The following is a 25818-nucleotide window of genomic DNA, read 5'->3' as shown; positions in this document are numbered from 1 at the left end:
AACAGGCACAAAATCTCAACAGCAGAAGTTAAGGGCATAAACAGGAGCAGTGAGGTAAAACAGCGGACATGTTCAGCAGAGTAAGGAAATAATAGGGAAACAGCTGAAAGAATTTTAGATAAGCAACTTGATTGGGGTCTAGTACGACATGTGCACGGATACTAAACAAATGGAAAGGGTCAACCTAACTGAAGGGAAAAGGAAGGAACTCTCCATGCTAGGACACACACAGAGCTCTTCATTCTGAGTGCCAAAGCAGCTACAACTTGGCTCAACAATTGAACTTTACTTCCCTACTAATTCTATCTGATTCTGCCTTACTCACCTGAGCAGTCATCTCTTAAGACTTCTCTAGTCTTAGTTTCCAGATCAAAGACCTGTAGATCCTGTTCCAGCTGGGAGATCCCATCAGGCTTGGAAATTGGAAATCCTGCTCATAGAGAAGGAAATGGGATGTGGCAATGTATCCCCAGGTCCTACATCTGCCACTTTTTCTTTTAACTAATGATTAAGAGAGACAGAAGGTCGATTCTGAGAAGACATTAATTAGGAAGGTCTGGAGAGTGAAGAGGGCAAAGATCTACAAGGAGCTCAGATTTGTGCTCTAGAGGGATGTGTGTTAAGGGGCAAGTTGATGACTTGGGAGCAGAAGGATTCATTTAAATATTATTCAGACAACAGAATGTGTGCATGGGTTTGTCTTCACAGAAGTTATCATTATCACTCTCCATCTGTTACCTAAAGATTAATCTTCGGATTAGATCTGGTCTACAAGTATCAAAATGGAGGTCATCAAAATGTAATTCTGCTGGACTGGAGAAAGGTGAAACTCAAGCACCTGCTGCATGGTTAGCTAACCTGTAGCAAGAGAATCAGTGAAAACTGAATAAATATTCTAAGGACCAATCTCAAGAAACAATTTGTTTCAGTACACATAAGAAAACAAAGAGTAATATGACACATTCTTACCCATTAGGAGTGTAGCATTTATTCAACAAACATTTATGAAGTGCCTCCTCTATGCAAAGTATGCAGGGGATAAGAGGCCAAGAAGGTCCCTTCCCTCAAGGACCTCACACTCTACACAGAGACAGCTCTAAACAACTAACTACAATAAAATATAGAGAGGGAAGTGCAATCAGTGCATCTTCACATAAAACAGTCTTTCTATGGCTTGCATAATGCAATGCTTGGATATAAATCTCTTTTAAAGCTAAAGCAACAGGCAGTCTGCTTCCAAGGAGACAGAATTTTAATACTATTAGTATCAAAGGGCAGTTTTTAAATGTGTCCAGCCCAGAAAGCTTCTAATAGCACACATACAAGGTCTGGCTCAAGCCCCTCATCTCCAAAAACCTTTCTCTCCATTTACTGAATGTGTACAAAATTTATTAGTTGTTCCCTCTTATCCTGACATGTCACATATAACGGTGTTTACATAGATTTTTTTTTAAGTGGTTTCAGGTATTGTCATTCATACTTGATTTATAAACTCTTTGATAGAAGGGACCAGGTATCTTGTATCTTGCAATTCTTTTGATTAATTTACTTAACGGCTACTTATTGAGTGCCAACTCTGTGCGCCCAAGTATCAATGTATTAACAGCTACCCAATTTTATAAAAAGGGCATTGGGGCTGGAAAATATGAAGAACTGACAGCTGCCCCAAAGATTCCATGTGAGAGCCTATGAGCAAGGAGATCAGAATAGATAGAAGAAAGGTATTTACTGTGTTTCTGAAATCCTGTGGGACATTTAGAGTCAACTCTCCTTGTGGACATATATTTAATTAAGGTCCACCCTGTCAAATGAAATCGTTTCAGAAGTTTAAAAAGTAAAGTTAGTGTAACATGAAGCAGCAATCAATATTGTTCTCAGAATTCCAATAACATAATTTGCAACTTTTAACTCTGAGATATTTAAAGTGTCTGTCGATATTTGGTAACTGAAATAAATTCTGGCTGCTTACTCCATATCTACACTTAAAACACATATGCACAACAAAAAAGGTGGTCTTCATGTGGGATGAGGGGTTTGATTTTAGATGTGTGTTTAATGTAATGTACGAAGGTATAAGAGAAAATGCCCAGCAGATGAGTACGCAAAGGCATACAGAGTGATAAAATGGACTTCAGAGACTAAGAAGGGAAAGGGTGGGAGAAGGGACAAGGGATAAAAAACTATATATTAGGTACAATGTACACTATTCCAGTGACAGGTGCACTAAAATCTCAGAATTCACCACTATGTATTAGAATTCATCCATGTAACAAAAAACCACTTGTACGCCCCCAAAACTACTGAAATAATTTTTTTTAAAAGAGAAAATGCCTAGCAGGTAAAGATACAATATCACAGTTTAGAAGAGAGAACAGGGTATCATCAGTACCATCAAAATATTATTAAGTTTTACTAAGTACTTGGTAGGTGCAAAGTACCATGCCAAGAGCTCTCTAGGTTTTCACTCATTTAATACCATAAATTTAAAACGTAGAAACTATTATTATAGCCATTTTACAGATGGGAATACTAAGATTCAGAGTGGTTAAGTAGCTTGCCCAAGGTTACAATAACTGGTAATGCTTAGTTTTCAAACCTGCACAGTCTTATTTCAGAACCTAGCCTTTAAACAATCTGCTAGTAAAAAAAAAATTATGATTTTGCCTCCTAACAAGCCCTGAAAAAAAATAAATAATGACTGTGAACAAAATCCATCCCTTCCTCCAAATTACACACAGAAAGAACGTGTAAGTTTTCTTGGCACTAGCCTAAATGCCTATTTCCTAAATTTAACTCAAAACTTTGCTTTCAAAATATGCACTTGCTTTATTTACATTTTTCCTGTTTAAAATTAATGTATTAAAACTTTTTGATTTTATTTAAATCTTGAGTTTTCTAATATGATTTATAAAATATTGACAGTGAAGTAAAAGGTAAATACAAACAACAGAGAAAAAGTGATTAGAATAACATACGGTGAACCAGGATCCTAAATAATTGGAGTCGCAGAAGTGTTAATTAAAAGGGATCTATGGCTGGGCACAGAAGCTCACACCTGTAATCCCAGCACTTTGGGAGGCCATGACGGACAGATCACTTCAGCCCAAGAGTCTGAGACCAGCCTGGGCAACATAGTGAGATCCCACCTCTACAAAAAATACAAAAATTAGCCAGGCATGGTGGCACACGCCTGTAGTCCCAGCTACTTGGGAGGCAGAGGCAGAATGATCGCTTGAGCTCAGAAGGCCGAGGCTGCAGAGAGCCAAGATCACACCACTGTACTCCAGCCTGGGTGAGAGTGAGATCCTGTCAGTCAGTCAGTCAGTCAATCAACCAACAAACGAATCAAGAGGATCTATGGACCAGGCATGGTGGCTCACACGTGTAATCCCAGCACTTTGAGAGGTCAAGGCAGGAGGATCTCATGAGCTCAGGAATTTGAGACCTGCTTGGGGAACATAGTGAGACTCCATCTCTACAAAAAATTAAAATTAAAAATTAAAAGGGATCTAAAAGATGATTTATTATCAAGGAAATGGAAATCCTTTACAATAAAAATCCAAACCCCAGCCAGGCACGGTGGCTCGCGCCTGTAATCCTAGCACTTTGGGAGGCCAAGGCAGGCAGATCACAAGGTCAGGAGATCGAGACCATCCTGGCTAACACGGTGAAACCCTGTCTCTACTAAAAATACCAAAAATTAGCCGGGCGTGATGGCGGGTGCCTGTAGTCCCAGCCACTCGAGAGACTGAGGAAGGAGAATCGCTTGAACCCGGGAGGCAGAGGTTGCAGTGAGCCGAGATCACGCCACTACACTCCAGCCTGGGAGACTCCATTTCAAAAAAAAAAAAAAAAATCCAAATCCCTAGACAATAGTCCAAACAATAATAAATTTGAGGAAACTCCACTATAAATAAATAATTTGAACACACTCCTGAAATTTTTATTTGTATTAAAAAATCTGGTCTATGGCTCATATCGCTTGCTATTCTTTCCAAAATATTAAAGTAACTAGCACAAGGCAGGTACTTAATTTTTTTTTTTTTTTTTTGGCCGGGGGGTATGGAGTCTCGCTCTGTCGCCCAGGCTGGAGTGCAATGGCATGATCTTGGCTCACTGCAACCTCCACCTCCCGGGTTCAAGCGATTCTCCAGCCTCAGCCTCCTGGGTAGCTGCAATCACAGGCATGTACCACCATGCCCAGCTAATTTTTGTATTTTTAGTAGAGACGGGGTTTCACCATGTTGGTCAGGCTGGTCTCGAACTCCTGACCTTGTGATCCGCCCACCTCACCCTCCCAAAGTGCTGGATTACAGGCGTGAGCCACCGCACCCGACACAAGCCAGGTACTTATATGCATAATCTAATTCAATCCTGTACCCAGAAGGTAGACATTATTTTTCATGTTTTATAAACCAAGAAAATGAGTGTCAGATTAAATAATTTGCTCAACATACTACAGCTGGTAAGTGGAACCCAAGCTTGATCCCAGTTTATATTCTTTCCAACCTATCATACTGCCTATCAAAGAAAGCATTAGTAGCAGGTTCTCTTGACATTGACGTGAATGCTTTTTTTTTTTTTTTGAGACGGAGTTGCACTCTGTCACCCAGGCTGGAGTGCAATGGCACGATCTCGGCTCACCTCAACTCCACCTCCTGGGTTCAAGTGATTCTCCTGCCTCAGCCTCCAGAGTAGCTGGGATTACAGGCATGCGCCACCATGCCCGGCTAATTTTGTATTTTTAGTAGAGACGGGGTTTCTCCATGTTGGTCAGGCTGGTCTCGAACTCCCAACCTCAGGTGATCCGCCTGCCTTGGCCTCCCAAAGTGCTGGGATTACATGTGTGAGCCACAGCACCTGGCCGACTCTATGCTTTCAAAATATGCACTTGCTTTACATTTTTTCCGTTTAAAATTAAGTTATTAAAACCTTTTGATTTTAAGGCTGGATGTGGAACACATGAGGCCAAGAGTTCAAGACCAGCCTGGCCAACATGGCAAAACCCCATCTCTACTAAAAATACAAAAATTAGCTGGGTATGGTGGTGCATGCCTGTAGTCCCAGCTACTCTGGAGGCTGAGGCACAAGAATGGCTTGGGCCTGAGAGGCGGAGGTTGCAGTGAGCTGACATTGTGCCACCACACTCCAGCCTGAGCGACAGAGCAAGACTGTCTCCAAAAAAAAAATTATTTTATTTAAATCTTGAGAGTTTTCTAATAAAATTTATTTTAATCTGGTCTTCAAAAATAACAGTTAAAGCTGAGCATGGTGTTGGCTCACATGTGTAATCCCAGGACTCTGGGGAGCTGAGGCATGCAGATCACTTGAGCCCAGGAGTTCAACAGCCTGGGTAACATAGCGAAACACCTTCTTTACTAAAAATAGAAAAAAATTAGCATGATGGTACAGGCCTATAGTCCCAGCTACCCAGAAGGCTGAGGTAGGAGGATCACCTGAGCCTGGAGGGAAGTCCAGGCTGCAGTGAGCTGTTATCATGCCACTGTATTCTAGCCTGGGCAACAAGAGGGGACCCTGCCTCAAAAATAATATTTAAAATTTGCCTTATCATATGGTTTGCTGCTTTTACTACGGCTATGCTTTTAGCCATCTGAAAGCTTCACGCTTTTCTTCCTGGTCCTTAATACACAAATAATATCTCTCCTTAGCAATATCATTCTTTTGTAGATACCTGTTGGACTGGAATGTGTCCCTAGAGAGTTTTACTTTTTGAATGCATGTCCTTTCTGGTCCCAAACTATATACTGGCCTGTCTGTCCAATTTGTCATGGCATTTTGAATTTTTCTTGTCATCAGAGTACACACAACTCACTAAAAATATTAAAAACTCCATGTGTAGTTGAACTTATTGTCCTAAGGGCACAAAGTAGTGAAAAAGTGCAGGGGCTTCAGAGGCAGATCTGGGTCCCAAGCCTCTCACTGATCCTGCAAAGATCACTTAACTTCTCTGAGCCTCAGTTTCCTCAGATATAAAATAGGAGCAGTGTCATCTGCTCACAGGGTTATGGTAAGGATTAAATGAGATATATACACATATCCTTTATATATATATATACACACACACACACACACACATATAAATGTCCTATGTCTGTGTGTGTGTATATACATATGTGTGTGTGTGTGTATACATACATATATATAGTACCCAATAACATATTGGCTGCTCAATAAATACTAAATAGCTGTGACAATGGAAAACATTCTGTGCAAAATAACTGTAGTCCTTCATGACATCAAGTTAAAAAAGCAGAGAGTATGTGCCAAACATTCCCAATCTACTGACCCAGTTAATATCAATTAGAATTTTAACAAGCATGCTTCTGAGGCCATCATCTAATAGGGCACCTGCCACACTTACCCATGTGAAAAGCAACTCGGTCCCCTTTATGGGTCTTAATCTACCACACTAAGTAACAGGTAACTTCCCTATGGATAGTGACCCAGAGGCAAATTGTTCATTCATCATCAATGGAGTATGTTCTTTTTTCAATTATGTGGTAACGAAAATTACTTATTACCGACTTCTTTACTCAGCTATTTGTACTCTGTATATTTACTGCTGCATAGTGGAAGCACTTAAGCAAAGGACCAACGTTCTAATGTCTGTGACAAATACAATCTGGAGGCCAGGCGCAGTGGCTCACAACCTGTAATCCCAGCACTTTGGGAGGCCGAGACAGGCGGATCACGAGGTCAGGAGATCGAGACCATCCTGGCTAAGATGGCAAAACCCCATCTCTACTAAAAATACGAAAAGATTAGCCAGGCATGGTGGCGAGCATCTGTAGTCCCAGCTACTTGGGAGGCTGAGGCAGGAGAATGGCATGAAGCCGGGAGGTGGAGCTTGCGGTGAGCAGAGATGGTGCCACTGCACTCCAGCCTGGGCAACAGAGCAAGACTCCGTCTCAAAAAAAAAAAAAGTCTTACAACCCTAAAAAGTTAAATTAATAAATGTATAAACTTAACCCAGTTATGCTGGAGGTTGCAATTTTTGTTAAAAATCAGACCTTGGCGATGACCTTGAGCAGCGGGACATAAATAATTCCCGCAAGCTTAGTGTTCCAATAATGGAACACTAGGCATAAATGGGTTAATTTTCAGATGAAGTCTGCTGAACCCAAAAATATGAAAATGATTTCCCAAGGATTGTAAAAATAACTGCTAAGGAGATGCTGCTAACTTGATCACAAAAGCAAGATGAGTAGAAGGCTTTCTTGCACTGTGCGTGTCTCTTGTATGTGTAAAAGTGTGTATGCATGTCGACTGCATGTCGAGTGTGCAGTGCAGAGATAAGAGAGGAAATGGGATAAAGTTCAGTCTATAGCATACTATGCTATTAGACTGCATTAAACTGCTACAAAGTTTCTTTACTCCAAAAAGTAGACAGGTTAACTGTTGGAAACTCTGTAATTATTAGATAAAATTAACAGTACTTTACAATTATATGTATGTCACTTTACAGTTTACAAAGTTATTAAGTAGATATTCAATTTGATGCCCTGAAATAAATTTAACTTCTTTGCCCTCCCTTCTCCCCTCCATCAAGGACAGAGTAAGGAACACTTAATCAGGAAAGGCAATATAATTGCATCAATCTGTACAGAACCACAAAGAATAAAGGGTAGGAAGGTAGGACCTTGAAGAGGGCCACAGGGACTTCAAGGAAGGAGGAAACCAGAATGTTAAACATGAGGGAAGCCCAGGGTTCACAGGAGAGTTAGGCACCATACGGGGCAGGTTGTGTTCGCCACATAAAAGGAGGGGCACACAGCATAAGTTTCACATTCTAAAATAATATGAAAAGACCATAACTGAAGAGCTGAATTTGGAATTTCTGGTTTTTCACAATACAAGTAGATGATGACCACCAACCATGGTTTCTGAATGAACTGGGTTCAAAACATATCTGGTTGCAACAGAGGGCTTCCTTGGACCCTAACATTTGAAATTAAACAGAGGTAATTTGAGGAGCTGCGATTTTACACAGTGGTGGCATCCTGGGGAGCTTCTATTCCATCAGTCAATTTTAATATCTCACAATCGTGGAAAAGGAGTTTCCGAGCAGGGACGAGCAATATCGATGGGAAGCCGATACTTGGGCCATCTCTTGGAGATTCCTGCTGTAAGGACGGCAAGTGTTTCTCCAGAGAAAGCACTTGCCTGGGTATGACTCAGGGCCGGGCAGGAATTCACACTATGAATCCGGGTGGTGGGAAGGCGGAGAAGTATGCCTACAAAGATTAAAGAGCCAGGAATGGAAAACACACTAAAAACCGTCCCAGTGGGCAGCCTGCCTCCCCACAAATAAGAAGACCTTGAATCCTGAGCATAATCAGGGAGACAAAGCAATGCCCTGGATGCCACCAGCATAGACAAAGCCAACGGAAAAAAAAAAAAGAAAAGAAAATGCATGATTCAGTATTTACACACACAAAAAGAAGAGTGCAGAAGCAAGCAAGAAACTAAAGAAAAAGGAGGCTGGGTGCGGTGGCTCATGCCTGTAATTCCAGCACTTTGGGAGGCCAAGGAAGGTGGATCACTTGAGGTCAAGAGTTCGAGATCAGCCTGACCAGCATGGTGAAACCCCGTCTCTACTAAAAATACAAAATTAGGCGGGCGTGGTGGCCCATGCCTGTAATCCCAGCTACTTGGGAGGCTGAGGCAGGAGAATCGCTTGAACCTGGAAGGCAGAGGTTGTAGTGAGTTGAGATTGCACCACTGCACTCCAGCCTGGGCAACAAGAGTGAAACTCCATCTAAAAATAAAATAAAATAAAAAATATAATATAATATAAAAAATAAACTAAAGAAAAAGGAACAATGCTCACACCAAGGGAGCTGCCGACAAACCCCACTGATGCTTCCCAGCAGCACTACAGCTTGGCTAATCCCAGCTTCCCACTGTACCTTTCAAAATGACAAGGGAGAGACATGAGTTAAGCATTGACCCCACCTCAGCATGGGGTAAACATCTGAGATTTCTGCTGCCCTGGGTGTGGTTACGTGGGATTACCATTCTGGGTGACTCACTGAAATGTACTCACAGTGAGTCATGCCTTCAAATGACATCTCAAGTTCTGCCTGCTTGGAGATACATCTGGGGATCTTAAGGGGTGAGGGACTACTCAACAAGAAGGAATTTAGCCTGTCTTTTTAAATAAACGGCATTTCTTTTTCCTAGAAAAATGGGAAATTCTTCAATTCTCTAATACAGGGACACTGAGATAACAAAGAGGAAAGTGTCTGGTTGGAGGTTGGGAGGCCACCCTGGGGTCTCTCCTACAAAAATGGAAAAGAAAAGAACGGTGAGAAATCAAGCAAAGCACAAGAAAGTTTCCCTTTGCTAAAAGGGAAAAGATGCCCCACAATGGCCATAAACATGAACTGGGGATAAGGAGGAGAATGTCTCTTCTTGGCACCCCCAAACAAACGTTAATTACCCCTCCCGGAGAAGACGATGTGAAAGATAAGGATTCAGAGGTTCTAAGTCCTGGAATCTAAGCCACACTCTACAGACCTTCTCAGAGACCTTATACTTAGGAAGAAACAAGAAAGTAAAGAAATTCAAATAGATAAACCGAATAATAAGGAAGTCCTTACCCAGTGAGACCACGTTCCCATAATTCTCTAACATCACTTCTCTGTAGAGGTCCCTCTGAACAGGGTCCAGGTATCCCCATTCCTCTCGAGTAAGGTGCACAGCCACATCCTCGAATGTCACAAACTCCTGAAATAACACATCCTGGCTGCTCTGAGGAATGAGAACACTGTAGCACCATGGCCAGAGAATGAAGATCATAGAGAGGGTATCCACTGTGTACTTACGTTGAGGAGGAGGGAGAACAGATTAGAACCTACGGAATAAAGCCCATAACCCTTAAACATCTAATAAGCACCCATCACACAACCATGGACAAAGAGAAAACAGAGTTTGCTCATGGCACTGGGGAGATGGGAAGTTGGTTTATGTGAAGTCCAGGTCTCCGAAGAGGATCAATTCCCAAACTGGAGTCTGCTATTGAAAAAAATTCCAGGCAAGGTCTACAGATGGGATGAGAGAGAGGCCACACTCCATCAGTAGCAATAGTCCCTGAGGAAAAGCAGAGGGTTCCTCAGCTCACCTGGTACCTGGCTGTCAAGAGCGCAGCTGCCTGGTCTCCTGGGCTTCCCTCACGGGGAAGAGCAGGCACCTGAGGAACAGGTGGAGCTGAGGGAGGAGAAAGGAGTGAAGAGTGAGAGCAGCCCTTTCCCAGGGCTCCCTTTCAGAGGAGGCCTCTCCAGCCCAAGGGGTGTCAGCAGGACCCTCCTCAATACTCTAGTAAAACCAATGAACATTTTTCAGGTATTGGGTGTGTCTACTCTGCTTCGTCTCAGTACTTGCATGCCTTATGCGTGTTTTGACCTGTGATACAGGATTTTCTTAGGAAAGCTTGTATTTCACTTTATCTTCATCACATGACAGTCCTCTTACAGAAGAGTAAGACTATACCTGTTTTGCAGATGGGCAAAGCAAAGCATAAAGACTTGTGGGGACTTGTCCTGGGCTAGGGTTATTTAGCAGACTTCTGACCCTTTCCAGGCACTGTTCTAGACACTTGATCAGCGTTTCTCTTGTGAATGGGTGCTGTCTCAACCAGTGTGTAAGGCCCCCAAGAACAAGAAAGGGTCATCTGTTTCCTCGAAATCTTTTCCACAGTCCCACAATCCCCCACAGCACTCTACACATTGTGGCACTTGATCTGTGTGGGTGACACACAAGTTATTTCAGGCACTAGAGTTAACCACAGGCAATCTAAGACACAGCTCTTATAAAACAAAGGAAGAAAAAGACCAACCTACCTATACGATACAGCAAAGTGTGACTGCGTAGTCAAAATACAGTATATATACATTCATACAGGCATTGTGTTCAACCAAGGAATTAAATGGTTGCTTCCTTGACCAAATTTAGTCTAGTCACAAAACACTGCAGTTACAACAGAATGGATGGCAGGTGACAAAGCAAAGAAAAACTAAGTGAAGGGAACAGGGGAAAGAAAGGTCCTGAACCTAAGAGGAAGTGAGAGCCAGGAAAGGACTGTGAGATGTGGCAAAAGCAGCATATCTTAGAAATTATTCTGGATGTGAGAACTGGGATGAAGTGAAGGTTGCCTGAAGGAAAAACCACCACAGCGAGTAAGCAGCCATCACTCTGCTTATTTGAGAAAGATGAGCTATCCTTAATAAAGGGGCTCAGACTAGGACTGAACTGAGTCACATCTGCCCCCTCTTTCATTCCTCCCTCTAGGGACCATGTTCTTATTCCAGTTCTTGGCCTCTCTCAAACCAGGCCCAGGAGCCCCCTCGGGAGCCCCTCCGCACTCCCACTCTCCCAGACGGAAGTGCTTTCTCTGCCTTACCCCCAGTGAGTCCCTGTTCCATGTCGGTGTCCTGCACAAACTGAGGCTCTGGGGACAGACACTCAGACTGGGTCTCCAAAGACTGAAACTGGACCCTTGGTGACCCTGCTGCTTCCTGGGCTGGTATTTCCTCCATCACTGCTCTGGAGGACAATGACCATCACTGCAAGGTAAGATTAAGAGAAATTACTGTAATAAGTTAAAGCATTTCATCATTTTATATCGTCAGGACTTTGCAAAGGATCTTACACACTATGGATATTCAATAAAAATTAGTTGATAATGATTAACCACCCTAAATAAGTAACAGAAAAATGGGGCCAGGCGCAGTGGCCTGTAATCCCAGCACTTTGGGAGGCTGAGGCGGGAAGATCACTTGAGGTCAGGAGTTCAAGACCAGCCTGATCAACATGGTGCAACTTCTTCTCTACTAAAAATACAAAAATTAGCCAGCGTGGTGGTGCGGGTCTGTAATCCCAGCTATTCGGGAGGCTGAGGCAGGAGAATTGCTTGAATACAGAAGGCATACGTGGCAGTGAGCCAAGATTGCACCACTGCACTCCAACCTGGGCAACACAGTGAGACTCCGTCCCAAAAAAAAAAAAAAGAAAAAAAAGAAAAAGAAATATGGATATGCTTCAGCTTTAAATACTTAAGAACCAAATCATAGAAGAGTCTCTAATTTGGAATTTGTGGCATTAAAAAAATTAACACGGTACAATTTAATAGTGTAAAGCTTTCTGTGGAAACTTTAAAATATTTAAAATTGGCCACGTGCGGTGGCTCAAGCCTGTAATCCCAACAGTTTGGGAGGCACAGACGGGTGGATCCCTTAAGCTCAGGAGTTCCAGACCGTCCTGGACAACATGGTGAAACCCCGTCCCTACAAAAAAAAAAAAAAAAAAAAAAATTAGGTGGCCCAGGCCTGTAGTTCCAGCTACTCCAAAGGCCAAGGCAGGAGAATCGCTTGAGCTTGGGAGGTAGAGGCTGCAGTGAGCTATGACTGCGCCACTGCATTCCAGCCTGTATGACAGCGTGACAGCCCACCTCAAATAAACAAAACAAAATATTTAAAATTTACAATCGTCTTTGGAGGCTCAAGTTGGTGCCCAGAGAAAAATGCTAGTTATGATTGCTCATTTTATTTTAATTTTGTTTTAGCAGAGATGGGAGTCTCGCTATGTTGCCCAGGCTGGACTCGAACGCCTGGCCTCAAGCGATCCTCCCACTTCGGCCTCCCAAAGTGCGGGGATTACGGCGTGAACCACCGTGACAGGCCCGCGTTTACGTAAATAAACTCATTTAAATAAATAAAACAGCAGGCCCCCTAGGAAATGTCTTGGTAACACCGTCAGCCCACTCCGATTTACTACACGGGCTTGGCGAATAAAACTCCACTTTTGGGGTCAGGCCCTTCGCTAACTCAGACCAGCTAGACCGGCCTTTTCCCGGAATCCTGAGAGCAACGCAGGTAAGAGCTGCGGTTCGAACAGGTTTGAGCGGCGTCCTTCAGGCCCAAGGACGCATGAGGGTGCCGTCCCCCTCCCACCACCCTCGCCCTGGGCCCCTGCCCGGCTCCCAGCTCGGTCCTCAGAAGGCCTTGCCCGGCGCTGCCCTCCTCCCACTTCCCTTTTAGGCCAAGGCAAAGTCCCAAAAGGACCAGTGAGGACATACAGACCAGCTCGCACCAGGGCACGGTCGCCGGCTCCTGACGGCGGGGCCCTCGGTCCGCGAGGTGAATGAACCAGGGCTGAAGAGAAACAGGCCCTCCTCGCACCCGGGCCTCCGCGCACTCTCGGGGAAGCGAACTACCGTCGGCCGCGGCCGGACGCCGCCTCCTTCTACTCCCGTGAAGGCAAAACAAGCTGCCACCCCGCTGCGACCCCAAAACGGCTTCCGGGTACTCACCGAGGGGAGGGGCGGGCCTGGCCGCTGTCCTGTCACCTACACACTCGCGCTCGGGGCCACCACAGCCTCTCCCGGGCCGCTGTAGACAGCCCCGAGGCCGGCGCTTCTCGGTGGCACTTCCGGCGACGGAGTGCAGGGTCCCGAATGAGGGCCCCCCCTCCTCCGCCCAGGCATGAGGGTCCCGGATGTGGGTGAGAGCCCCGGATGAGGGTCCCGGATGTGAGTGAGGGCCCCGGATGTGAGTGACGGCCCCGGATGAGGAACTCGGAGGAGGAGCTGGGCCCGCGCGTCCATGATTCGAAGGCTCGTTTTCGCAGCTTTTCCACGTCTTTTTCCGGTCCCACTGCCCTCCATGCTAACTCACTGGGCGTCTCTAGCCGTTATACCAACAATGACTGCGACCAGTGTTGGGAAAGCGCCCCCTGGGCCCCTCCCTGACGCCAGCCCATCCTTGAGACTCCCTGCAAGGAGGCGGCCCGACCCAGTGGGTGCGTGTCGTGGGGTGAGGAGGAATGGCCGACCTAATGGTCCCGCTTCCGTGAGTAGCACAGGGGTGCCTGCTCAGAGTGTAGTACAACGCTGACAAGTAGAAGGCGAGGATTGCGGGGCCTGGGTGAGATGGGACCCACTAAGTTGTGGGATCGAAATCTCAGTAGGTCCTTGGGGAAAGCGGGGACGGGAGGGGAGATGAGCAGATTGGAATAGAACCGAGAGAGACGGAGGAAACTGACAGTTGCGTCCCTGGTGGGAAGACTAAAATCTATGCAGAAACAGGGATAGGCAAAAGCATTGTGCACAAGCGGGACAGGCAGAGCGCCGGGACAGAAACCCTTAGGACATTCTGACACCTTGCTGAACCTGGATCCTTACAGAATATGTCTTGTAGGTGAAGCTAGATCTGCAAGGCATAGGCAAGCCTCTTAGAGAATCAGAAAAGTGATTTGGAAGGAACTTCAGCTGTTACTACTTTGTTTAAGCAAATCAAATGCTGTTCTTTAATGTTACTGGACGTTTCAAATTAAACACAAGAAAACCTGAAGTGTGGCATTTTATATATTTTTTCAAAATGTATCAGCTTCTTGGAGATTCTGATATTCCTTTCCTCTCTTTATCCCTAAGTATCATTTATCCAACCTAAATTCATACTAGGACACAATCTCTCTAGTCTGCAGTGCCCGTCACAGTGGAGTCAGGATCGGAGAAAGAAAATGCACTGCTTAGTCCATTTCATGCTGGACAGCTCCAATTAGAAACTTTTCCTTGTGTTGAACAGAAATACACCCCTGGTGATGTCTATCTATTGTTCCTGTTGACAGGTCCCCAGGACAATAGATGACACAGTACTTCTTCCTCTTCATAACGGCCATTTTAATATCCTAGGAGAGCTAAAGGTTTGGAGTTCTTCCTGAGTTGCCATTTCCCCACCTAGAACCCTTCACAGGTTGTACCTATTAGCAATGTGATGGGAAACCATTTCAGCAGCAAAGGTGAGTGAGCTATGGCAGTGAGGCACATCGCGTCCAAGTTTTAGCTGACTCAGGCAATTGGCTCCAGTGAGAGGACCACAAAAGGTACCCACTTAAAGAGGCCACTTCCCACCAGTACTCATCAAAACATAACAAAGTGTTAAGAAACAGCAGCTGCTATTTTGCTTTTGAGCAAAATTTTCTTTTAACAGTTTGCCAGATGACAGAGGTGGAAACAACTCAAAAAATTGTTACCTTTTTTCGTTTTTGTCTTTTTGTTGTTGTTGAGACAGAGTCTTGCTCTGTCGCCCAGGCTGGAGTGCAGTGGCGCGATCTCAGCTCACTGCAACCTCCAGCTCCCAGGTTCAAGCATTTTCCCTGCCTCAGCCTCCAGAGTAGATGGGATTACAGGTGGGCACCACCACACCTAGCTAATTTTTGTATTTTTAGTAGAGATGGGGTTTCACCATGTTGGCCAGGCTGGTCTCAAACTCCTGACCTCGGGTGATCCGCCCGTCTTGGCCTCCCAAAGTGCTGGGATTACAGGCGTGAGCCACTGCACCGAGCCTGTTTTGTTTTTTTTAGTGCAAATTAACAAACTGATTCTAAAGTTTATATAGAAATGCTAAGGATTTAGGATTGCCAAAACAATTTTGAAAAAGAATAAAATTGGAATACTTGTATTTTTTTAAGATTTTTTTCCTAAAGGTACAGTAATCAGGATGGTATGGTATCAGCATAGAGACAAATAGATCAACAGAGCAGAACAGAAAGTCCAGAAATATGAGGTTGAATTTCTTAAAGAAAAAAAAGTCCAGAAATAGATCTAGATACATACAATAGCTGATTTTTTATAAATTACTAAGGTAATTCTGCATCTAGCTAAGCTGAAAATTAGGCCGAGGATCTGTTTGTAACAGTGACAGTAATGTAAAGGAGACCAATTGTGCAGACTCGGCAGGTCCCCTGAGTCAAAGTCGTGGCTCATACAGGGAGAGGGTGGGATCCTGAGACCTGTTCTCTGTCACAGTGTAGTCCGCAGGAACTTTACCCAACCATCATGATGGTCCATATATTGATGACAAATGCTAGTAGTACCCAGTGAGCAGCAAGTGACAAGGGTCATAAATATCCTAGTAAGACTTCTTACTAAGGCAGTACAGAAACCTGAAGATATGGGCACTTATCAAATGGATGAAGTTTTGGTGGGGCCCAGTGGTTTGGGGACATCACCCAAAGGTAAAAGAAAGTTGTTCCACCTTGCACCCTCTAATCCCAAAAAAATTGGTACAGGTCCTGGTGGGCCCCTTTGGATTTGGGAGGTAGCATATTCTGCACCTGAGAAAACTGTTCCAACACATGTATTAGGTGACCTAAAAAGCTTCCACTTTTTATTTATTACTATTTTTTTTTCTTGACACGGAGTCTTGCTCTGTAGCCCAGGCTGGAGTACAGTGCCGTGATCTCGGCTCACTGCAACCTCTGCTTTCTGGATTCAAGCAATTCTCCTGCCTCAGCCTCCCTAGTAGCTGGGATTACAGGCGCCCGCCACCATGCCCAGCATTTTTGTATTTTAGTAGTGGAGGGGTTTCACCATGTTAGCCAGGCTGATCTTGAACTCCTGACCTCAAGCAATCCACCCACCTCCGCCTCCCAAAGTGCTGGGATTACAGACGTGAGCCACCATGCCTGGCCAGCTTCCACTTTTTATTGGGGCAAGAGAGCACTCTATAGTAAATCCAAGCAACAGTGCAAGCTTACTTGCAAATTCAGTGGTTCCAGAAATATCCTTGATGGATACAGGTGCTGTATGGAGTTGCTGGCAAACCCCAATAAGAGTGTGCATTCGTGTGCTAGGGCTCCTATAACAAAGTACCACAAACTGGGTGGCTTAAACAACAGAAATCTGTTGGTTCACAGTCTGGAGGCTAGAAGTCAGAAATTAAGGTGTGGTTCCTATTGAGGCTGTGAGAAGGAATCTGTCCATGCCTCTCTCCTAGTTTCTGGGGATTTGCTGGATATATTTTGCATTCCTTGGCATCGTAAGAAGCATTTTCCCAGTCTTTACCCTCATCTTCATTTGGCATTCTCCCTGTGTACTATCTCTAAACTTCCCTTTTTTATAAGGATACCAGTCATTAGATGAGGGACCCACCCTAATCCACTATGACCTCATCTTGAAGTAATTACATCTGCAATGCCTCTATTGCCAAATAATTTCACATTCTGAGGTATTAGGGGCTAGAACTTCAACCTGTTAATTGGGGATGAGGTGGAGGTACAATTCAACCCATCATAAAGAGTCACAGCACAAATACCTAAGATTCTGGAGCAAGGTCATGCCTTCTAAGGCAAAAAAACAAAACCCACGTTTCCAAACTCCCAGGTCAGTTACCTCTGCTCTACTGCCACCTCTCCCATAAACTTACTCCTATGGCCTTATAAAAGTTCCCTACAACTAACTGATGGAGACAGAAGAGCCTTGGCCTCTGCACAGATTGGGGATTGGGTCAGTTCAGCATGTTGGCATCTTCCAGAAACAGACTGTTCTTCATTACAGCCCCACTCGCGTTGCCCTGAAGCATACTGGTGAAGAAAAATTATCTCAGTGAGCAATGGTACATTTGGTCACCCATGCCATATTTTGGAGGAGGTAGCCTAAGGTAGGGATATGCATTGACTCCTAGGCAGTGATGAATGGCTTGGCTTGTTGGTTAGGGACCATCTTATTGTTTATGCAATAGGCTTATGAACAGAGACCATGGTAGCAGGGATAGAGGCTGTGCGTGGTCCCAACAATATGGGCTACCTCTTATTTTTCTTTTTTTTTTTTTTTTTTTTTTGAGACGGAGTCTCGCCCTGTTGCCCAGGCTGGAGTGCAGTGGTGTGATCTCAGCTCACTGCAGCCTCCACCTCCCAGGTTCAAGCAATTCTCCTGCCTCAGCCTCCCGAGTAGCTGGGACTACAGGCACACACCACCGTACCCAGGTAATTTCTGTATTTTTAGTTGAGACGGTGTTTCACCATGTTGCTCAGGCTGGTCTCGAACTCCTGAACTTGTGATCCACCCACCTCAGCCTCCCAAAGTGCTGACATTACAGGTGTGAGCCACCGTGCCCGGCCAATATGGTCTACCTCTTACCAAGGCTGATGTAACTCTCACCATGGTGGAGTGTCCAGCCTGCCAGCATTAGAGACCAACACTGAGTCTTAGAGATACCAGCTACCACCAGGTTGAGTGCATCAGATCCCTTTTACCTTGGAATGGGCATCAATTTGTTCTTACCAGAATTGATATATGCTCTAAATGAGCTTGTCTTCCCCAACTACTTTGCCTCCAGCAGCACCACCATCTGAGAGCTTACAGGGTGCCTTATCCATTGACATACCTGAAACTAAGGAACCCACCGATAGCCAAGGAGGTGTGACAGTGAACTCGAAGCTACAAAATTCATGGTGCATACTCATCATCCAGAAGCAGCTAGCCAGATAGGGTTTTGGAATGGCCTGTTGAAGACTGGGCTAAATTGCGATTAAGATGTAATGCCTTGCAAAGTTGGGAGCAGTTCTTCAGAATATGGTATATGCGCTGAAATGCATTGGGCCAAAATGGATATATAGTATTGTGTCTCCAGTAGGACTATGTGCATACAGGAGTAGCCTCTATTACTATCACACCCAGCCACTCACCTGTAGAATTTGTGCCTCCTCGCTCCGAAATCTGGAGCCAGCTGGGTTATGATCCTCATTTCCAGGAAGAACATTTCCTCTAGGAAACATTAAATCGTGCCACTGAACTGAAAACAGAATACCACCAGGCCACTTTGAGTTTCTTGTGCCAGTAGGTCCGTAGGCAAAGAAAGGAGTCGTTATAGAGATGCCTACAATTCCTGCCACACACACAACATAAATACAAAATCATATACCCAGTCAACTGCATTCAGTAATCTGCCTTCCTGGACCCTTTAGGCACTTCAGTGTAGGAATGGGGACGGGTGGGGAGGAGAGACTTTAGACAAAGAAGAAAAATACAGTGTGTAGCAATGTAATGACTCTTAGCGATGACTTGGAACCCTGGAAGGAAATATGAGGATGTATCTGGAGGAATAAGTTGAGACTATGATGTCATCACGGAGGACTGTAGGTTAGAAAGCCAGCCAGTGATAAAGGAGCAAAGATTGGATTTGACGGTGCCCTAGGAGGAAAAAAAAAAAAAAAAAAATATATATATATATATATATATATATATATGTGTGTGTATATATATATATGTGTGTGTATATATATATACATGTATATATATGTGTATATATATGTGTGTGTATATATATGTGTGTATATATATATATGGAGCAAAGATGCACTTAAGTGGATTATTGAGAAGACTCGTGGGTAGGTAGAAAATGGCAACCATAGCAAGATCAAACCCCCTAAGGAATGGAGCATTAGTGAGGGTCTAGAAGGTAATTCGGGATACCACGTAATCATAGGCTCTGTATCAGGTAGCCGTTCCTTTTGTAGGCTTTTATCTTATTGGGCTGTACCACAGACTTGCCCAGAACTTTTAGAGTCATGCCCCAGCCATTCAAGGTCTCAGTTACTGTTTTATAAAAGGTGAAGTTATTCTTGATCTAATCATAGAAGCCCTAATTATTACAATAACACTTGGACAGCAAAAACGCCTCAAATTCAACTTATTTCACCGTTGCTAATCTGAAAACTCCCTGGAAACATAAGGCAAACTCAGAATTTTATAACTATCTAGTGTTGGAAAGAACGTCTGTTGCCTATAGATCAAGTATTTGAAAATACTGCCCATTCAACTGGCAATACGTACATAATCAGCGTCTCAAGAGACAATCCCTTCGATTTGTGAAACCATTTATTCTTGATCTTCCTGTCTCCACCCTCGTTTCATTCAGCTCCTCTGCCACAGACAATCACTATTTTTATTGTAACTATTACAATTATTGTCATCAAGAAAAATAGAAGGAACATATAAATATCTGAGCAGGGCGGTATAAAGGGAAATTCATCCCTTTTTCCCCGCCCTGTGCACCTCCTCGGAGCGGACAAGCTGAGGAGCAAGATCCCCAAACCCGAGATTAGAGCCCTACACAGGGATGCAAAGTCCTCCCGCGATCCTAGAGAGGACCCCGAAGCGGAGCGCAGCTCCGGAAGGCGGGTGTGACGCACTTCCGGCTTTTGTGACGCTTTCCCTGGGCTCTGAAGGCCAGGGGGCTTGGATGTGAGTCTAGTGCTCCTGGTCCCCAAAGTCACAACCCCTTCTATCCCAGCATCCCAGACTTCTCCGGGCGGGGACAGAGTTGGACGTGCATGGCTGTGTCCTGCAATCCCCTCGCCACGACCGCCCGGGACGGAGTGGAAGCGGGTCCGTGCCCCCGTTCCTCGCGCCAGCCTCGGCGGTGGCAAGCGCTGTCCCCCAGCAGAGGTGTCCCTGGATACAGGTGGGAAGGGAACGAAGTTTTGGTTTCCGGATTGGAGACACCCCTGGGACTGGAGAGAGGCGGTCTGCGTGTCCCTTCTGGACCCCCAGTCCTGGTGTTTTACCCCAAAGACGCGCGGACAAAATGACCCCAGTCAGATATCTGTGCTCCCCAGTTGTGCCCACTGGTTTTTCTTGTGGTGGGGGCTTTTCTGGTTTCCTGGGTACCCCGAGTTGTAAAATTCTGGCGATCTTACACGATACCAAGTGCCATTGGCCTTATAATTTGTTTTATTCGGATGGGCTCGTTAAGCCAGTGTCCGCGGATGATATGTTCACCCTCAAACCCAGTACCATTATGGTGGTGATTAGAGTGAAGGCCGGGCGCAGTGGCTCACGCCCATAATCCCAGCACTTTGGGAAGCCTAGGCAGGCGAATCGTTTGAGGCCAGGAGTTCTGAGATCAGCCTTGCCAACCTAGAGAAACCCTGTCTCTACTAGAAATACAGAAAATTAGACGTGGCGGCACACGCCTGTAATCCCAGCTGCTTGGGAGGCTGAGGCAGGGGAATCGCTTGAACCCGGGAGGCGGAGGTTGCAGTGAGCCAGGATCGCGTCACTGCACTCCAGCCTGGGAGACAGAGAGAGAGAGTGAGACTCTGTCTCAAAAACAAAAAAAGAGAATGTTTGAAGCCTACTGAATAAAGAAGTGATTTGGATATAATAGGAAAAGCTCATTTACACTTCACCCTTTCCTTTCAAGACTTTAGGAAGGGGTCTTTTTGTTTCTTTGGTTGGTTTTTTTGTTTTTGAGACAGAGTCGCCCAGGCTGGAGTGCAGTGGTGCGATCTCGGCTCACTGCAACCTCCAGCGCCCGAGTTCAAGCTTCTCCTGCCTCAGCTTCCTGAGTAGCTGGAATTACAGGCGCCTGCCACCATGCCCGGCTAATTTTTGTACTTTTAGTAGAGACGGGGTTTCGCCATGTTGGCCAGGCTGGGAAAATGAACTCCTGACCTCAGGTGATCCGCCCGCCTCGGCCTCCCAAAGTGCTGCAATTACAGGGGTCAGCCACCACGCCCTGCCAGGAAGGGTTTTAAATGAGCAATTTCGGACATGGGGGGTTTTCAGTTGTGGGAGGTATCTATGCTTGACATCGAGGGATAAAGGAGAGAAGGGAATTTGTGGACGGTGCAGCGGACCATTGGGGACTGGTACCAGTTCTGCCATTGATGTTCTTGGATGAAACACATAGACCCACCAAGTCTCAAATGTGTCCTAAGTAAAGTAAAATAGATTATCTCAAGGTCTCTTCCAATTTTGGAATCTGCCGATAGACTGAATTTAACATTCAGCTAAGCAAAACCTATGGCCCCACATTCATTTCCATTTGTGCCACCAACATACAGAAAGTTACTTGCATTATTGAGAGAGGCTAAGTGACACAGTACCAAAGAAAAGGGGTTCGTTGGCCAGGTGCTGTGGCTCAGGCTTGTAATCCCAGCACTTTGGGAGGCCGAGGTGGGTGGATCACGAGGTCAGGAGTTTGAGACTAGCCTGGCCAACACAGTGAAACCCCGTATCTACTAAAAAGACAAAAATTAGCTGGGCCTGGTGTTGGGCGCCTATAATCCCAGCTACTCGGGAGGCTGAGGCGGAAGAATCACTTGAACCCTGGAGGCGGAGGTTGCAGTGAGCTGAGATCGTGCCACTGCAGTCCAGCCTCAGCAACAGAGCTAGACTCCGTCTCAAAAAAAAAAGGGGGGGGTTCATTTAGTAAAGTCAGGTAATAACTTTTTTTAAGTTTTTTTTTATTATTTACTTTTTTTTATTATACTTTAAGTTCTAGGGTACATGTGCACAATGTGCAGGTTAGTTACATATGTATACATGTGCCATGTTGGTGTGCTGCACCCGTTAACTCATCATTTACATTAGGTATATCTCCTAATGCTATCCCTCCCCACTTCCCCCACCCCATGACAGGCCCCACTGTGTGATGTTCCCCACCCTGTGTCCAAGTGTTCTCATTGTTCAGTTCCCACCTGTGAATGAGAACATGCAGTGTTTGGTTTTCTGTCCTTGCGATAGTTTGCTCAGAATGATGGTTTCCAACTTCATCCATGTCCCTACAAAGGACATAAACTCATCCTTTTTTATGGCTGCATAGTATTCCATGGTGTATATGTGCCACATTTTCTTAATCCAGTCTATCATTGATGGATGTTTGGGTTGGTTCCAAGTCTTTGCTATTGTGAATAGTGCCGCAATAAACATACATGTGCATGTGTCTTTATAGCAGCATGATTTATAATCCTTTGGGTATATACCCAGTAATGGGATGGCTGGGTCAAATGGTATTTCTAGTTCTAGATCTTTGAGGAATCGCCACACTGTCTTCCACAGTGGTTGAACTAGTTTACAGTCCCACCAACAACGTAAAAGTATTCCTATTTCTCCACATCCTCTCCGGCACCTGTTGTTTCCTAAGTCAGGTAATATCTTTAAATCCACTAAACTCACATGAATGGTGAAATATTGCAGTGTACTAAAAGCAAACAAACAAATGAGGGTGTTTTGTCAATCGCATGTGTTGTGGAAATCTCATTCTCCCTCCAGAATAATTCATGGATCTATGTAACATGAACATGTTTCAATATTCATAATACTGAATAATTATGCAGCTTAATTTCTTATTTTTAAGAAATACAAGTTCTCATTTTTTTCCCTATGCCCCAGTGGATCATCTTGTGTACCCTATGTACCCTACCTGATGGTTTTTTTTGTTTTTTGTTTTTTGTTTTTTTTTTTTGAGACAGCGTCTTGCTCAGTTGCCCAGGCGTGGTGGCACATGGCCTGTAATTCCAGCTACTTGGGAGGCAGAGGCAGGAGAATCACTTTAACCTGGGAAGTGGAGGTTGCAGTGAGCCGAGATCGTGCCCTTGCACTCCAGCCTGGGCAACAAGAGCGAAACTCCATCTCAAAAAAAAAAAAAAAAAAAAGAATGACCAGATCACTTTTTAGAGTTGGCAGTGTAGCAGCATATTTAGGACACTCGCTTCAGACTTGGATTTGAGTGCTGGTTCTATACTTACTGTGGGTTGTTAGACACATTTAATCTTTCTGAACTTTTATTTTTCATCTGTAATATAAGAATAGTAATTATGTGAACCTCATTAGGTTTCCCTGGGTATTAAATGAGTGGTGTATATAGTACACCAAATCTCCCTGACACACAGCCAACATGAATGACAGTTGCTCATCATTTACCATGTCACACCACTAGATTTAGTGAATTGTTTTGTATGAGTTGTTAGCCCAGCAATACCATGTTGCTTTTTAATACTGCTGTTACGTTTTTCTACCCTGCAGGATAGCAAAACCTGATCTCATAAAACCTAGGTCACAAAGGACAGCCCTGCAAAACAGACCCTATTTGGATCAAGTGAGCCAGTTCCTGGAACCTGAATAATGACTCCTGAATCAAGGGATACTACAGATTTGTCTCCAGGGGGTACCCAGGAGATGGAAGGCATCGTGATAGTGAAGGTGGAGGAGGAAGATGAAGAAGACCATTTTCAAAAGGAAAGAAACAAAGTAGAGTCATCGCCACAAGTTCTCAGTCGCTCTACAACTATGAATGAGAGAGCCTTATTGTCATCGTATTTAGTTGCATATAGAGTGGCAAAAGAGAAAATGGCTCACACAGCGGCTGAAAAAATTATCCTTCCAGCATGTATGGACATGGTACGGACAATTTTTGATGACAAATCAGCTGATAAACTAAGAACTATACCTCTTAGTGATAATACAATATCTCGTCGAATCTGTACGATTGCAAAACATTTGGAAGCAATGCTTATTACACGGCTGCAGTCCGGTATAGACTTTGCAATCCAACTCGATGAGAGCACTGATATTGCAAGTTGTCCCACACTCTTGGTTTATGTCAGATATGTGTGGCAAGATGATTTTGTAGAGGATCTCTTATGTTGTTTAAATTTAAATTCACATATAACTGGATTAGATTTATTTACTGAATTAGAAAACTGCCTTCTTGGTCAGTATAAATTAAACTGGAAACATTGTAAAGGAATTTCAAGTGATGGAACAGCAAATATGACCGGAAAACACAGCAGACTTACTGAAAAATTGTTAGAAGCAACCCACAACAATGCTGTTTGGAATCACTGTTTTATTCATCGAGAAGCTTTGGTATCCAAAGAAATTTCACCAAGTCTGATGGATGTATTGAAAAATGCAGTGAAAACTGTTAATTTTATTAAAGGAAGCTCACTGAATAGCCGACTTCTCGAAATATTTTGTTCAGAGATTGGAGTGAACCACACCCACTTATTGTTTCATACAGAAGTTCGTTGGCTTTCTCAAGGAAAAGTATTGAGCAGAGTATATGAACTCAGGAACGAGATTTACATTTTTCTCGTTGAAAAGCAATCTCATTTGGCAAATATTTTTGAAGACGACATTTGGGTAACAAAATTGGCATATTTAAGTGATATTTTTGGCATTCTTAATGAATTAAGCCTGAAAATGCAGGGGAAAAACAATGATATATTTCAGTATCTTGAACATATTCTAGGATTCCAAAAGACGTTATTATTGTGGCAAGCAAGACTTAAAAGTAACCGCCCTAGCTACTATATGTTTCCAACATTATTGCAACACATCGAAGAGAACATTATTAATGAAGACTGCTTAAAAGAAATAAAATTAGAGATATTGTTGCATCTCACTTCTTTGTCTCAAACTTTTAATTATTACTTTCCGGAAGAGAAATTTGAATCATTAAAGGAAAATATTTGGATGAAAGATCCATTTGCTTTTCAAAACCCAGAATCAATAATTGAGTTAAACTTGGAGCCTGAAGAAGAGAATGAATTATTGCAGCTCAGTTCATCATTCACACTAAAGAATTATTATAAGATATTAAGTTTATCAGCATTTTGGATTAAGATTAAAGATGACTTTCCACTGCTAAGTAGGAAGAGTATATTGCTGTTACTACCATTCACAACTACATATTTGTGTGAACTAGGATTTTCAATCTTGACACGGTTAAAAACAAAGAAGAGAAATAGGCTCAATAGTGCACCAGATATGCGGGTAGCATTATCTTCATGTGTTCCTGACTGGAAGGAACTTATGAACAGACAAGCACACCCATCACATTAAATACAAACTTTACAAAATTCTGTGTATAGCCAGGTGTGGTGGCTTACGCCTGTAATCCCAGCAGTGGGAGACCGAGGTGGGCAGATCACTTGAGTTCAAGACCAGCCTGGCCAACATGGTGAAACCCCATCTCTACTAAAAATAGAAACCTTAGCCAGGCGTGGTGGCACATGCCTGCAGTCCCAGTTACTTGGGTGCCTGAGGCAGGAGAATCTCTTAAACCAGGAAGGCAGAGATTGCAGTGAGCTGAGATAATCCCACTGCATTCCAGCCTGGGCAACAGCGTGAGACTTCATCTCAAAAAAAAAAAATTGTATTTGTACTTTTAAAGGGATTTTGCAGTATGTTGTAGTTAAACGTTAATAAAATTATATTTGTAATTAGGA

General features: G+C 44.0%; 2 protein-coding genes and 1 long non-coding RNA gene across 22 annotated transcripts in view, besides 3 other annotated features; 1 reads left to right on the top strand and 2 right to left on the bottom strand.

Moving 5' to 3' along the window:
• Positions 1-13476, bottom strand: part of ZNF655 (zinc finger protein 655) — a 17812-nt gene extending 4336 nt beyond the window's left edge. The window contains exons 1-5 of one of the 16 annotated variants that reach the window (NM_024061.4): positions 13331-13476; positions 11423-11585; positions 10145-10230; positions 9624-9750; positions 7413-8255 (exon numbers count right to left, since the gene is read on the bottom strand). In NM_024061.4, coding sequence (NP_076966.1) covers positions 8059-8255; positions 9624-9750; positions 10145-10230; positions 11423-11558 — 546 coding nt within the window. In that variant the 5' untranslated portion in view covers positions 11559-11585; positions 13331-13476 and the 3' untranslated portion in view covers positions 7413-8058. Of the gene's footprint in view, positions 1-325; positions 431-7412; positions 8256-9623; positions 10231-11422; positions 11586-13096; positions 13294-13330 lie in introns of those variants that run through there. The other 15 variants (NM_001085367.1, XM_047420832.1, XM_047420831.1 and 12 more) reach the window with 15 other exon arrangements.
• Positions 13402-13671: an enhancer, noted in NCBI's record as "active region_26326". NCBI's record gives its function as "activates an Ori minimal core promoter by ATAC-STARR-seq in GM12878 lymphoblastoid cells {active_cell/tissue: GM12878}" and the evidence as "EXISTENCE:reporter gene assay evidence [ECO:0000049][PMID:35858748]".
• FAM200A (family with sequence similarity 200 member A) lies at positions 13575-25818 on the top strand. 3 transcript variants are annotated; one of them, XM_047420022.1, is made up of 3 exons: positions 13575-13818; positions 14647-17182; positions 23612-25818. In XM_047420022.1, exon 3 carries the CDS (start codon positions 23711-23713, stop codon positions 25430-25432), a length of 1722 nt encoding a protein of 573 aa, XP_047275978.1. In that variant the 5' UTR covers positions 13575-13818; positions 14647-17182; positions 23612-23710; the 3' UTR covers positions 25433-25818. The 3 variants fall into 3 exon arrangements, with proteins under 3 accessions (XP_047275978.1, XP_024302449.1, NP_659802.1); XM_024446681.2 differs by lacking the exon at positions 14647-17182; NM_145111.4 differs by lacking the exons at positions 13575-13818; positions 14647-17182 and adding an exon at positions 20004-20264.
• Positions 13702-13831: an enhancer, noted in NCBI's record as "active region_26325". NCBI's record gives its function as "activates an Ori minimal core promoter by ATAC-STARR-seq in GM12878 lymphoblastoid cells {active_cell/tissue: GM12878}" and the evidence as "EXISTENCE:reporter gene assay evidence [ECO:0000049][PMID:35858748]".
• On the bottom strand, positions 16161-19953 carry LOC105375422 (uncharacterized). 3 transcript variants are annotated; one of them, XR_007060452.1, is made up of 4 exons: positions 19856-19937; positions 19634-19754; positions 18487-18593; positions 17181-17382 (listed from the first exon to the last, which is right to left on the bottom strand). It is a non-coding gene; the product is annotated as an uncharacterized LOC105375422 (long non-coding RNA). The 3 variants fall into 3 exon arrangements; XR_927801.4 differs by having other exon boundaries at positions 16161-17382; positions 19634-19953; XR_927802.3 differs by lacking the exon at positions 17181-17382 and adding an exon at positions 18273-18385 and having other exon boundaries at positions 19634-19953.
• Positions 20258-20447: an enhancer, noted in NCBI's record as "active region_26324". NCBI's record gives its function as "activates an Ori minimal core promoter by ATAC-STARR-seq in GM12878 lymphoblastoid cells {active_cell/tissue: GM12878}" and the evidence as "EXISTENCE:reporter gene assay evidence [ECO:0000049][PMID:35858748]".

Source organism: Homo sapiens, chromosome 7 (assembly GCF_000001405.40).
Source record: "Homo sapiens chromosome 7, GRCh38.p14 Primary Assembly".
In the NCBI taxonomy this organism is placed as follows: Eukaryota; Metazoa; Chordata; class Mammalia; order Primates; family Hominidae; genus Homo; species Homo sapiens.
Note: the sequence above shows the minus strand (reverse complement) of the source record. Positions and strands in the feature narration are given on the sequence as shown.